Source organism: Homo sapiens, chromosome 13 (genome assembly GCF_000001405.40).
Source record: "Homo sapiens chromosome 13, GRCh38.p14 Primary Assembly".
NCBI classification, from domain to species: Eukaryota; Metazoa; Chordata; class Mammalia; order Primates; family Hominidae; genus Homo; species Homo sapiens.
This window is the reverse complement of record NC_000013.11, coordinates 34,964,949-34,978,668: the sequence shown is the minus strand read 5'-3', so window position 1 is coordinate 34,978,668 and position 13,720 is coordinate 34,964,949. Positions and strand designations below refer to the sequence as shown.

The 13,720-nt window shown below is 38.3% G+C and overlaps 1 protein-coding gene across 12 annotated transcripts in view, besides 2 other annotated features; it reads right to left on the bottom strand.

Moving 5' to 3' along the window:
* NBEA (neurobeachin) overlaps positions 1-13,720 on the bottom strand; it is a 730,467-nt gene that overhangs the window by 694,068 nt on the left and 22,679 nt on the right. The gene's annotated exons all lie outside the window — the stretch shown is intronic.
* Positions 4,312-4,811: an enhancer, noted in NCBI's record as "H3K27ac hESC enhancer chr13:35547995-35548494 (GRCh37/hg19 assembly coordinates)". NCBI's record gives its function as "activates a minimal SCP1, AML or CMV promoter by ChIP-STARR-seq in primed H9 embryonic stem cells {active_cell/tissue: H9 hESC(primed)}" and the evidence as "EXISTENCE:reporter gene assay evidence [ECO:0000049][PMID:30033119]".
* Positions 4,812-5,313: an enhancer, noted in NCBI's record as "H3K27ac hESC enhancer chr13:35547493-35547994 (GRCh37/hg19 assembly coordinates)". NCBI's record gives its function as "activates a minimal SCP1, AML or CMV promoter by ChIP-STARR-seq in primed H9 embryonic stem cells {active_cell/tissue: H9 hESC(primed)}" and the evidence as "EXISTENCE:reporter gene assay evidence [ECO:0000049][PMID:30033119]".

Sequence of the window (13,720 nt, the reverse complement as noted above, 5' to 3'; positions counted from 1 at the left end):
TCTATGGTGGGAAAAAAAAACCTCTGACCATCTCTGGGAGTATGGAGGTAGGGATTAACTGGAAAGGAGTACGAGGAACTCTCTGGGATGACTATAATGTTCTAGGTTTGGGTTACTCAGGTACATGCATTTGTCACAACTCACAGAATATTAGATGTTTTCACTGTATGTAATTTTATGGTGGGGAGGTAGCCAAACATTGAATTTCAGTTAAAAAATATGCATGGCGTCAACCTGGTTTAAACGGATCCAGAAAAAATAGACAGATCGATGGATGCATAAAAATACAGATATGTGATAAAGTTATTTTAGTAAAATGTAAATTGTAGACTCTAGGTGGTACATATATGGGTGTTCACTATAAAATTTTTTCAATTCTTCCTATCAGTAAATATTAGTTATCTGAAGTCTGTGTGCCAGAACCAAATCTTGCCATTAATAATTATAGCTGACTTAAGAGTCTTCCAGAATTTCCCTGAAATCATTGATACTTACTTTTTGATCAGCACTGCTTAGAATATGCCCATCCCAAGGTTTGAAGATTGATTAAAGAATAACTTTAGGCAGGATGTAGTGGCCCATGCCTGTAATCCTAGCACTTTGGGAGGCCAAGGCAGGAGGATCACTTGAGACTAAGAGTTTGAGTCCAGCCTGGGCCACACAGTGAGACCCATTCTCTAAAAAAAAAATTTTTTTAATCAATTAGTCAGGCATAATGGGAGCTATTCAGGAGGCTGAGGCAGGTGGACTGCTTGAGTCCAGGAGTTTGAGGCTACAGTAAACTGTGATCATACCACTGTACTCCATCCTGAACTACAGAGCAAAAACCTGTCTCAAAAAAAAAAGAACTTTAAATTAAAAGTGTATCCTTCTGTCCTTCTACAAATAGTGATTGAATGCCTAGTGTATGGCAGGTGCAAGAAATGTGAAACAAAATCCTGAACCTCATTAGCCTTCATCTGGAGGGGAAAATGACTCCAACTATCAAAATGAATTAGATTACTTCTCAATACAGATTAATGTTAGCATCTATTCTGTTTAAGATAGTTATGTACAATCCAGCCAAGCGTGGTGGCTCACACCTGCAATCCCAGCATTTTGGGAGGCCGAGGTGGGAGGATCACCTGAGGTCAGGAGTTCGAGATCAGCCTGGCCAACATGGTGAAACCCAGTATCTACTAAAAATACAAAAATTAGCTGGGTGCAGTGGCACATGACTGTAGTCCCAGCTACTCAAGACGCTGAGGCAGAAGAATCGCTTGAATCCGGGAGACAGGGGTTGCAGTGAGCCAAGATCACACCCTTGCACTCCAGCCTGGGCGACAGAGACAGACTCCATCTCAAAAAAAAAAAAAGATAATTATGTACAATTCATATCCATTTATATTCAGTATTTACACATAAGTATATAAGCAAAGGTAATAGGTCTAGCTGGGCGCAGTGGCTCACACCTATAATTGCAGCAAGTTGGGAGGCCAAGGCAGGCGGATCACCTGAGGTTAGGAGTTCGAGACCAGCCTGACCAACAAGAAGAAATATCATCTCTACTAAAAATACAAAATTTGCTGGCCGTGATGGTGCACGCCTGTAATTCCAGCTACTTGGGAGGCTGAGGCAGGAGAATCACTTGAACCTGGGAGGCAGACGTTACGGTGAGCCAAGATTGCACCACTGCACTCTAGCCTGGGCAACAAGAGCAAAACTCTGTCTCAAAAAAAAAAAAAAAAATAGAGAGAAAAAGAAAAGTTCTCTAGAAGCAAAATAGCATTTAACTACAAAGCCTCAAAAATTTGAACAATCTTCCTGGAGAAAAAAGTAGCACAGAATGGTTTACGAGAGGTAAAATGAACAAAAGAAATAAAACAGCTCTATGACTCAAGTAACTCCTCAAGTTGTCACCTAACATTCAATGCCCTCCATGCTTAGGCCTCACCTTAGATTTTCACTTCATCTTATATATCTCTCCTTTATGAAGTTTTGTCTGAGTCTCTGCTCCATGAAAAAAAAAAAAAAACAAAAAACAAAGAAAAAAGAAAAAGATATCTATCCAATCCTTAGAAAGTCATAATTCTTTGTAATTTATTTTAAATTTTTTATTTCAATAGGTTTTCAGAGACCAGGTGATGTTGAGTTACATAAATAAGTTCTTTACTGGTGATTTCTGAGTTTTTGGTGCACCCATCACCAGACCAGTGTACACTGTACCCCATGTGCAGTCTTTTATCCTTTGCCACCCCCCATTCTTTGCCCCAAGTCCCCAAACTCCAATGTATCATTCTTAGGCCTTTGTGTCCTCGTAGGTTAGCTCTCACATATGAGTGAGAACATATGAGGTTTGGGTACCATTCCTGAGTTACTTCACTTAGAATAATAGTCTGCAAGTCCATCCAGGTTGCTGAGAATGCCATTATTTCATTCCTTTTTATGGCTGAGTAGTATACCATGGTATTTATGCACCACATTTTTTTCATCCACTCATTGGTTGATGGGCACTTGGGAGGATTCCATATTTTTGCAATTGCAAATTGCGCTGCTATAAACATACATGTGCAAGTATCTTTTTCATATAATGACTTATTTTCCTCTGGGTAGATACGTAGTAGTGGGATTGCTGGATCAAAGGGTAGATCTACTTTTAAGTTCTCTAAGGAATCTCGACACTGTTTTCCACAATGGTTGTAGTAGTTTACATTCCCACCAGCAGTGTAAAAGTGTTCCCTTTTCACCACATCCAAACCAACATCTATTAGTTTTTGATTTTTTGATATGGCCATTCTTGCAGGAGTGAGGTGGTATCACATTGTGGTTTGATTTGCATTTCCCTGATAATAAGTGATGTTGAGCATTTTTCCATATGCTTGTTGACCATCTGTATATCTTCTTTTGAGAATTACCTATTCATGTCCTTAGCTCACTTTTTGATGGGATTTTTTTTTTCTTGCTGATTTGAGTTCTTTGTAGATTCTGGATATTAGTCCTTTGTTGGATGTATAGATTGTGAAGATTTTCTCCCACTCTGTGGGTTTTCTGTTAACTGGTGATTATTTCTTTTGCTGTACTGAAGCTTTTTAGTTTAATTAAGTCCCATCTATTTGTCTTGGTTTTTGTTACGTTTGCTTCTGGGTTCCTGGTCATGAAGTCTTTGCCTAAGCCAATGTCTAGAAGGGTTTTTCCAATGTTATCTTCTAGATTCTTTATGGTTTCAGGTCTTAGTTTCAAGTATAAGGTGAAAGATAAGGATCCAGTTTCATTCTTCTACATGTGGCTTGTCAATTATCCCAGCACCATCTGTTGAATAGGGTGTCCTTTTGCCACTTTATGCTTTTGTTTGCTTTGTCGAAGATCAGCTGGCTGTATGTGGCTTTATTTCTGGGTTCTCTATTCTGTTCCATTGGTCTATGTGTCTATTTTTATACCAGTACCATGCTATTTTGGTGACTAAGGCCTTATAATATAGTTTGAAGTTGGATAATGTGATGCTTCCAGATTTCTTTGTAATTTTCTCACAGAACTTAAGAAATTATGTCTGTTAGGAAGAAAACCAGTAAAAGGCTTGAGTCTTGTGCAGCCATTTCTACCTGCTTGACCTAGGGAAGTTACTTAATCTCCTTTCCCCATATGTAAATTGTGGATAACAGGACTTTACCTCAAGGTGATAGTATGAGGACTACATGCTTAGCCTCATGCATGAGCTACTACCGGGTAAAAATTGTGAAAACTAGTGTTCTATTTTTTCTCCTGACAAGCCTAATTCAGTATCAACAATGTTTAATAGGTATTTAAGTAAAAACATTTCAATTGAACCAGCAAGTGAACAAGCTATTTCATGTGCTGCTAACTGGTAGAATATTGCTGTAGTCCACACATATAAACACATTTAAGTACTTGCCATTTGTGTTTAAAAATGATACTAGCAACTCATCTGTGGCTACTGACAAAAAGAATAAACTCCACTTTGGTTTTTCTGAATTTTGCATTTATTCTATCCCTAAAATATTATTTTCCCATTACCCTCATTTCATCATCATTTTTGTATGTACTCATACGGGCAATTCTCTTTATTCTCTATCCTCTGCTTACAGTAACATTACCTAAGCAACAGGATAGTAACAAACTCAAACTCTCTATCCCTATTAAAATAGTCAGTTCTGGCCCACTGCCAGTTTTCCTTGTTTGGAGGCCTTTTAAATGTTCATCTTTGTGACCATTTGAAACCTCACATATACTAAGAAATGAAACTAACAAGATAAGCTGATAAATTGATATCAGCTTGCTTATTCATTCCATTGTGAAACGTCCAGGTAAGAAGAGGAAACCACTTCTACTCTGGCAAAAAGAAAACAGAGGATTTGGGCCAAGATGGCCAACAAGAAGCAGCAATGGTGCATGGCTCTCACAGAGAGGAATGAAAGGGGCAAGTAAATACAGTACCTTCAACTGAAACATCCAGGTACTTGCATTGGGACTAATCAGGAAAGCAACTCAACCCATAAAGAACAATGAAAAGCAGATAGGATGACGGCCCACCTGAGAGTGACACAAAGCCGGAGGAACCTCCCCCACCAAGTGAAGTCGTGAGTGAATGTGCAACCCCAGGAAACCATGCCATGCTTCTCCCACGGATCTTTGCAACCCTCAGGTCAGGAGAGATCCCTTCATGAACCCACTCCAGCAGGGCCTTCAGTCTGACACAAAGAGCTGTGTGGAGTCTCAGCAGAGCAGCCACTCAGACATGCAGAGGGGCCCAGGAGTTTTACAGACTCTGGCTCTGGGTATCCTGGCAAAAGTGACTGCAACTCCAGCAACGCAGGAGGTTGGACTTCCGTACATACCCCTGGGAAGGGGGCTGAATCCAGGGAAGCAGGCAGTAACGGTCTGCGGACCCCACTTCCATGGCACCACAGAGGATAAGACCCACTGGCTTGGAATTCCAGCTAACCAGGGGCAACAGTGTCACCCCTACCTGGGACAGAGTTCCTGTGGGGAGTAGAGGCCACCATCTTTGCTGTTTGGATGACTCAGCTGTTCCAGCCTGCAGGCCCTGGAGAGTCCAAACCAACCTAGGCCAGAAGGAATCCCCCAGCACAGCACAGCTCCTCTACCAAAACATGACCAGACTGATCCGTTTTTCATCACTGGGCATGACCTCGCAAGGGGGACCTCCAGACACCCTGGCGAATGTTCTCTGGCCAACAAAGATTTGAAAACTTCCTGGGACAGAGCTCCCAGAGGGAGGGGCAGGCTGCCATCTTTGCTATTTGGGCAACTTAGCCATTCTAGCCTCTAGGTTTTAGAGAGCCCAAGCCAACTAGAGGCAGAAGTGGTACCCCAGCACAGCACAGCTGCTCTATGAAAGTGTGGCCAGGCTGCTTCCTTAGCAGGTCTCCAATCCTGTTCCTCCTGACTGGGCAAGACCTGCCAGTCAGGATCTCCAGCCACCTCCTACAGGTATGTTTGGGCCAGGAACAAGTCTGTACCTCCCTGGGATGGAGCACCCAGAGGAAGGGGTAGGCTGCCATCTTTGCTGTTTCATAGCCTTCACTGGTGATACCTTCAGGTAGGTACTGGAAAACCCGAAATGACTAAGGACTGCAGTGGACCCCCAGCAAACCGCAACAGTCCTGTGGAAAAGCAGCCAGACTATTAAAAGAAAAAAAAAATCCAAAGGTGAGCAACCTCAAAGATTTAAGGTAGCAAAGTCCACAAAGATGAGAAAGAATCAGCACGAGAACATTGAAAACTCAAAAAACCACAGTGCTCTCTTTCCTCCAAATGATCACATCACTTCTGCAGCAAGGGTTCGGAACTGGGCTGAGGCTGAGATGGCTGAAAGGGCAGAAGTAGAATTCAGAATATGAACAAAAACCAGGCCGGTGTGGTGGCTCACGCCTGTAATCCCAGCACTTACTCTACAATCGATCACATAATCAGAAGTAAAGCACTCTTTAGGAAATGCAAAAGAATTGAAATCATAACAGTCTCTCAGACCACAGCGCAATCAAATTAGAACTCAAGACTAAGAAATTCACTCAAAACCATACAATTACATGGAAATTGAATACCCTGGTCCTAAATGACTTTTGGGTAAATAATAAAATTAAAGCTGAAATCAAGACGTTCTTTGAAACAATGAGAACAAAGATACAAGGTACCAGAATCTCTGGGACATAGCTAAGGCAGTGTTAAGAGAGAAATTTATAACACTAAATGCCTATATTAAAAAATTAGAGAGATCTCAAGTTAACAACCTAACATCACAACTAAAAGAACTAGAGAACCAAGAGCAAACAAATCCCAAAGCTATCAGAAGACAGGAAATACCAAAATCAGAGCTGAACTGAAGGAGGCAGAGACATGAAAAACGATTCATTGGATCAACAAATCCCAGAGCTGATTTTTTGAAAAAAATAATAAAATACATAAACTGTTAGCTAGACTAGTAAAGAAGAAATGAGAGAAGATTCAAATAAAATAAGAAATGGTAAGGGGAATACTCCACAGAAACACAAACAACCATCGGAGAATATTATAAACACCTCTATGCATATAAACTTAAAAATGTAGAAAAAAAATGGATAAATTCCTGAACACATATACCCTGCCAAGACTGAACCAAGAAGAAACTGAATCCCTGAACTGACCAATAATGAGTTCTGAAATTGAGGCAGTAATAGCCTACCAACCAAAAAAAGCCCAGGGCCAGACAGATTCACAGCTGAATTCTACCAGACGTGCAAAGAAGAGCTAGTACCATTCCTATTGAAACTATTCCAAAAAATTTGAAAAGGAGGGACTCCTCCCTAAGTCATTCTATGAGGCCAGCATCATCCTGATACAAAAAAAAAAAAAGAAAAGAAAAATTGAAGCTGATATCCTTGATGAATATCGATGCAAAAATCCTCAACAAAATACTGCCAAACTGAATCCAGCAGCACATCAACAAACTTATTCACCACAATCAAGTAGGCTTCATCCCCAGGATACAAGGTTGGCTCAACATAAAAAAATCAATAAATGTGACTCATCATATAAACAGAACTAAAGACAAAAACCACATGATTGTCTCAATAGATGCAGAAAACGCTTTCAATAAAATTCAACATCCCTTCAGGTTAAAAATTCTCAATAACCTAGGTATTGAAGAAATATATCTCAAAATAATAAGAGCCATCTATGACAAACCCACAGCCAACATCATACTGAATGGGCAAAAGCTGGAAGTATTCCCCTTGAAAACTGGCACAAGACAAGGATGCCCTCTTTCACCCCTCCTATTCAGCAGGGAATCAGGCAAGAGAGATAAATAAAGGGCATTCAGATAGGAAGAGAGGAGTCAAACTAACCCTGTTTGCCAATGACATGATCCTGTATCTAGAAAACCCCATCATCTTAGCCCAAAAGCTTCTTATGCTGATAAACAACTACAGGGAAATCTTAGGATACAAAATAAATGTACAAAAATTGCTAGCGTTCCTATACACCAACAGCAGTCCCACTGAGAGCCAAACCACAAACAAACTCCCACTCACAATTGCCACAAAAAGAATAAATTACCTGGGAATACAGCTAACTAGGGAGGTGAAAGATCTCTACAGTGACAACTACAAACCACTGCTCAAAGAAATCAAGAGATGACACAAACAAATAGAAAAACATTCCACACTCATAGATAGGAAAAATCAATATCATTAAAATGACCATACTGCCCAAAGTAATTTACAGATTCAATGCTATTCGCATTAAACTACCATTGACATTCTTCACAGAACCAGAAAAAAACTACTTTTAAATTCGTATGGAACCAAAAAAGAGCCTGAATAGCCAGAGCAATCCTAAGCAAAAAGAACAAAGCTAGAGGCATCACGCTACCCAACTTAACTATAATACAGAGCTACATTAACCAAAACAGCATGGTGTTGGCACAAGAACAGACACACAGATCAACAGAAAAAAGAACCCAGAAATATGATGCACACCTACCACTATCTGATCTTCAACAAACCTGACAAAAACAAGCAATGGGGAAAGGATTCCCTATTCAATAAATGGTGCTAAGATAACTAGCTAGCCATATGCAGAAGATGGAAACTGGACTCCTTCCTTTTACCATATACAAAAATAAACTCAAGATGTATTAAAAACTTAAATATAAAACACAAAATTATAAAAACTGTGAAAGACAACCTAGGCAATACCATTCAGGACATAGGCATGGGCAAAGATTTCATGATGAAGACACCAAAAGCAACTGCAACAAAAGCAAAAATTGACAAATAAGAGCTTCTGCAGAGCAAAAGAAACTATCAACAGGGTAAACAGACAACCTACGGAATGGGAGAAAATTTTACAAACCATGCATCTTACAAAGGTCTCATATCCAGCATCTATAAGCCACTTAAACAAATTTACAAGGAAAAAAAACAAACAATGCCATTAAAAAATGGGCAAAGGACATGAACAGACACTTCTCAAAAGAAGACATACATGTGCCCAACAATCATATGAAACAAAGCTCAGCATCACTGATCATGAGAGAAATGCAAACTAAACCACAATGAGATACAATCTCACACCAGGCAGAATGGCTATGACTAAAAAGTCAAAAACCAACAGATGCTGGCAAGGTTGTGGAGAAAAAGAAATGCTTATACACTGTTGGTGGTAGTGCAGATTAGCTCAACCATTGTAGAAAATAGTGCAATGATTTCTCAAAGACCTAAAGACAGAAATGCCACTTGACCCAGCAATCCCATTACTGGGTATATACCCAAAGGAATATACATCATTCCATTACAGAGGCACATGCATGCATATGTTCACTGCAGCACTATTCAAAATAGCAAAGACATGAAATTAACTTCAATACATATCAATGATAGACTGGATAAAAAAAAAAACGTGGTATATATACAGCATGGAATACTATGCAGCCATAAAAAAGAATGAGATAATGTCCTTTGCAGACACATAGATGGAGCTGGAGGCCATTATCCTCAGCAAACTAACACAGAAAACAAAATACTGTATGTTCTCACTTGTAAGTGGGAGCTAAATGGTAAGAATACACTGACACATAGAGGGGAACAACACACACTGGGCCTATCGGAGGGTCAAGGGTGGGAGGATCAAAAAGAATAACTAATGTCTACTAGGCTAATACCTAGGTGATGAAATAAACTGCACAACAAACCCCCATGACACATATTTACCTATGTAAAAAATATCTCCCAAAAGCACTCTACCTGTACATGTACCCCTGAACTTAAAATAAAAGTTAAAAAATAAAAAATAAAACTATCAAGCCAGAAAAAAAGAAAAAACGGAAACCAAAAAATTTTAGTTTTTTTTTTTTAAAAACCAAAAAATTTTAAATGTTCATGCTTTAACTTATTACACAGCAGTAAGTGTCGAATTTCTAATCCCTCACTGGACAGCTCTCAGAATGTGGAACCTGCCTAGTCACAGGCCCATTAAGTCAGAGGAATAAAACTCCAACCCAAGGCTCTAATTCCTTTCACTATGTTGAAAACAAGAGTGGGATGCAAAATATAAATGCAAAACATAAACGACAGAAGGTAAACAGCATTCTCAACAGAAACATCACTAATCAAGGAATGTGATAAAAGTCATGATCACTCAGGAGAATAAAGCCTACCAGTTGTGATCCAGTAGGTAGTTTTCAAGCCCACCTACTGGAGTAAGAGGCACAAAGAGGACTTAACTGAAGTCCTTCTCAATTGATATTAAAACACATTAATAATCAATTGATATTAACAATCAATTGATATTAATAATTGATATTAAAACACATTAATCACAGCATATGTGTTTAAAAAAAGTTCCTTACTCACTCTCATAGCACCTTAAAAAAATCTATTAGTGCTACTGAAAATAAATTTTAAAAATTCTATAAAATAGTATCATATCAGCAAAAAGTTTAAAATAAATAGAAGAAACAGTTCAAATGTCACATTCTTTCAGCAGTTTTTCACATTTTTCTAAAGCAAGGGTCTGCAAACTACTACCTATAGGTCAGTTCTAGCTCAATGTCTTATTGTAAATAAAGTTTTATTATACGGCCATTGGCCATTCATTTACATATCAGTAATGGCTGCCTATCGTATAATTTAAAATATATTTGGTCTTTGCCCCCAATTCTTGGCACAGAACTTCAAAAATCTTTAGAATGTCCTGGGTGATAAGAGTGTCCTTTGCTATTCATAACAAGACCCTTTTGACCATAGCTGAGCTCATGCTAACAAGCTAACTCATGTTGGGGCCCTTAGATAGTTTCAAGGGAAGGGCTGGCCAAGTCAAAAAAAACTAAGCAAGTGAATATAAGGCTGGTACTTGAGTTCAATTACGTGGCCCATAAATCAGGCCACATAATTGAAGCCTTGATAAGAACTCAAACAACGAGGTCCAGGATGCTTCCAGGTTGGCAAACATATCAATCTGCTGGGAGGGTGGTGTGCCCAGTAAGGGCATGGAAGCTCTATAGCCCACTCCCTCTCAGTGCCTTCCTTATACATTTCTTCCATTTGGCTGTTCCTAAGCTGTTTCCTTTATAATAAAACTGTAATTGTAAGTGTAGCACTTTCCTGAACTCTGAGTCATTCTAGTGATTACAGAACCTGAGGGAAGTTGTGGGAACCTCTGAATTTGTGGTCAGTTGAGCAGAAGTGCAGGTAGCCTATTTCAGGCTGGTATCTGAAATGGAAGCAGTCTTGTGGGACTGGCTCCTTAACTTGTGGAGTCTGTACTAACTTTCAATTAGTGTCAGAATTGAAGGATTCTGCCTCTAATTTAAGAGGTTTGCACTAACTCTATGTAGTATCAGGATTGAATTTTAGGACACTTAATTAGTGCCAGAGAATTGGTGTTGAAAAATGATGTATTTTTATTTACATGGCTGCCTTTCCACTACAACTGCAGGGTGAGTAGTTGTAATAGACACCATGTGGCCCACAAAGGCTAAAATATTTGGATCCTTATAGAAAATGTTTGCTTACCTTTGTTCTAGAGAGTCTTTCACAGCCTCCTGTTTCACACATTTTTGGTCCATATCTCTAACACACTACCGATTTATGTATTTACATTTGTATGTATTTACTTGTCTATCTTTCCCAGGATATTACTACTTGAAGACAAAAACAGTCTCAATCATTATAGCCTTAGCATCAAATCCTTGCCATATGGTTGACTACAGCTTAATAAAACATCTATTCCAAAAAGAGGCTTCTTAAAGTATGTTTCTATTGCAGTGCTTCTTATCTACTACTTTGACGAGGTCTCAGTTTTGCTTTTTTAAAAAAAAAAAGGTAAAAGAAAAAAATAGTACTTAAAAAACATAATTATTAACATGTTAAAGCCTACAAAAACCACAGATATCTAACCCAACCTTCATTTTCCGTCAGGAAAATAAGGCCTAGAAGATTTAATTCAGTTGCCCAACTAATCAGTAGCAAAGACACGATTAGAATCCAAGTTCAAATTTAATAACCTTTTCACTAATAATAACAAACCTTTCTAACACCAAAAATGAAAAGTAATATAAATAAAATTAAGCTTTCTTCAAAATATCTTCCCAAAGCACTCTACATTCAGGCTACTCAGAGTGCCAGCCAATGAGGAGATAGAAGTAAAATATGAATCGACATTCTGCTTCCTTCATCAAGAAAGTCTTGTTATGAGAAAAAAAAAAAAAAAAGAAAGGTTAGTTGAAAGAAATAGTGTACTTAGCACAGATGATTTGCATTCTGGCACAAGTTCCTTATCTCCTCTTAGAACAGCAAATATTTCATGAATATGCAAACCTCATCTGTGGACCACATTTTGACTAATAAATGTGCTAAATGAACATGCAGTATAGTAGCAGAAACAATAATATAATGATCTGTTATATATAGAATTCTCTCATATATACAGTTTCCACTTATGAGGGAAATAAAAGGAAAAATAACATCATTTACCTCATTTTCATATATGTGAGAATATACAGGTACACACACATACACAGAGAGAGAGAGAGAGAAAAAAAAAAAAAACACAGGCTCAGAGATATGTAACATAGTTGAAGGTCACAAAGCCACGAAAAGACAGACCAGGATTTGGATTCAGATTAGTCATACCACAAAGGCCAAGTTATTTACAGAAAACCAGGACACAAAAACTGATTGGATTCTAATAGTATTTATTCATTAATCCTACAAATATAAATGTAGAGAGTCAAGTACATCAGCTTACAGTTATAAAAGACCTAAGAGAAACAAGCACAACTTGGGGCTAGAAAGAAGCACCTCCCAACTTATACATACTTCGCTACAGAAGAGGCTGTGCTCTCTGACAAGTCCCGTTTCAGGAAAAGAAATATAAGAAACACTGAAAGGATAAGAGGACACTACTCTATCCAATCAGATGAATCTACATGCAATGGGCACACTACTTCACTCATGCCACTCTCTTATAAAAGCCTCTTGCTCCATATTGCCCAAAGTTCTTAGCTTCAAATTCCACCAAACTTCATTTTTCTTATATACAAATGGGAATACAAATGCCTATGTCATAAAGTTATTAATTCAGAATACCATATTTCCTTTTTCCAATAAACATTTTTTCATATTTAACATTTCTGAAATAAACATGTAACTCATAATTGATGTATACCTTTAATGTAATAGTGTTTCTTCTCATGAAGAGCTCCTACTAATATTAAATCAAAACAGTCAACAGCCTAGCAACATACCTTACAAAAACTTGTAACTACATTATCATTTTATTACATTCGGTACAAACAAACAACAACAGATAATTCTGGTTTTGGAAACAACTGTTTTCCAGAACTTTTAGTTATGTGTTTATAAATAAATATACACATTTAATGCATTACCTTAATTTCTCCTCCTCCCACCCCTTGTCATCCAGGAGACCTTGATCATGGCAACTGCAGTTTTGCTAACCAAGTGCATTTGCCAACCATGTGACTCCTGAGGTTGAGAGATAGATGTGAGTTAAACAAGGATCCATAAAAAAATATAGAAGCTAAATCTAAAGAATATGTATGAATTTTCTGGGAAAGAAAAACATTTCTAGGAAGAAAACACTATTTAGAATACACTGTGCCAATTCAGATTTCTTTATCTGGAATGCCCTCACTCCACCAGTCTACTGTGCAAACTGCAGCTGACCCTTTCGAGCCAATCTCAGGGGAATCCTCCACCTTAATGTCTTTCCCAACTGCTTCAAATAGTTCATTGCTTTCTTCTCTGTGATACTGTGGTATCTAATACACACTTTCACTCAGTCACAAGCAAAGAAAGGGAAGAGCCAGGATTTGAATTCTGACTAGTCCTACCACTAAGGCCTGAACACATTATTTAGTATTTTTTAATTTACACATTAGTCTCTCTTATTAGATCTTGAAATCCTTAAAGATAAGAATCATCTTCCCAATCCTGTTCTGTCCTCAGAGTTGGGCATACCATCCCTATGCTATGCTCCCATCAACTACCTAGAAATACAAGTATGTTTAAACTAATCTGCTTCTCCTCACCAAAAGGTCTTTATAGTTCTGTCAGGGTTTAAAACCATACAAGAATGCTGCTGACATATACCATATAATGTTAATGGAAGACCATAATATGTATCACCAAGTCTGAAGAAATAAACAAATAACCAAGTTTACAGTAGCTAGTTTCCTAGATAAGTCATTGCTAGAACA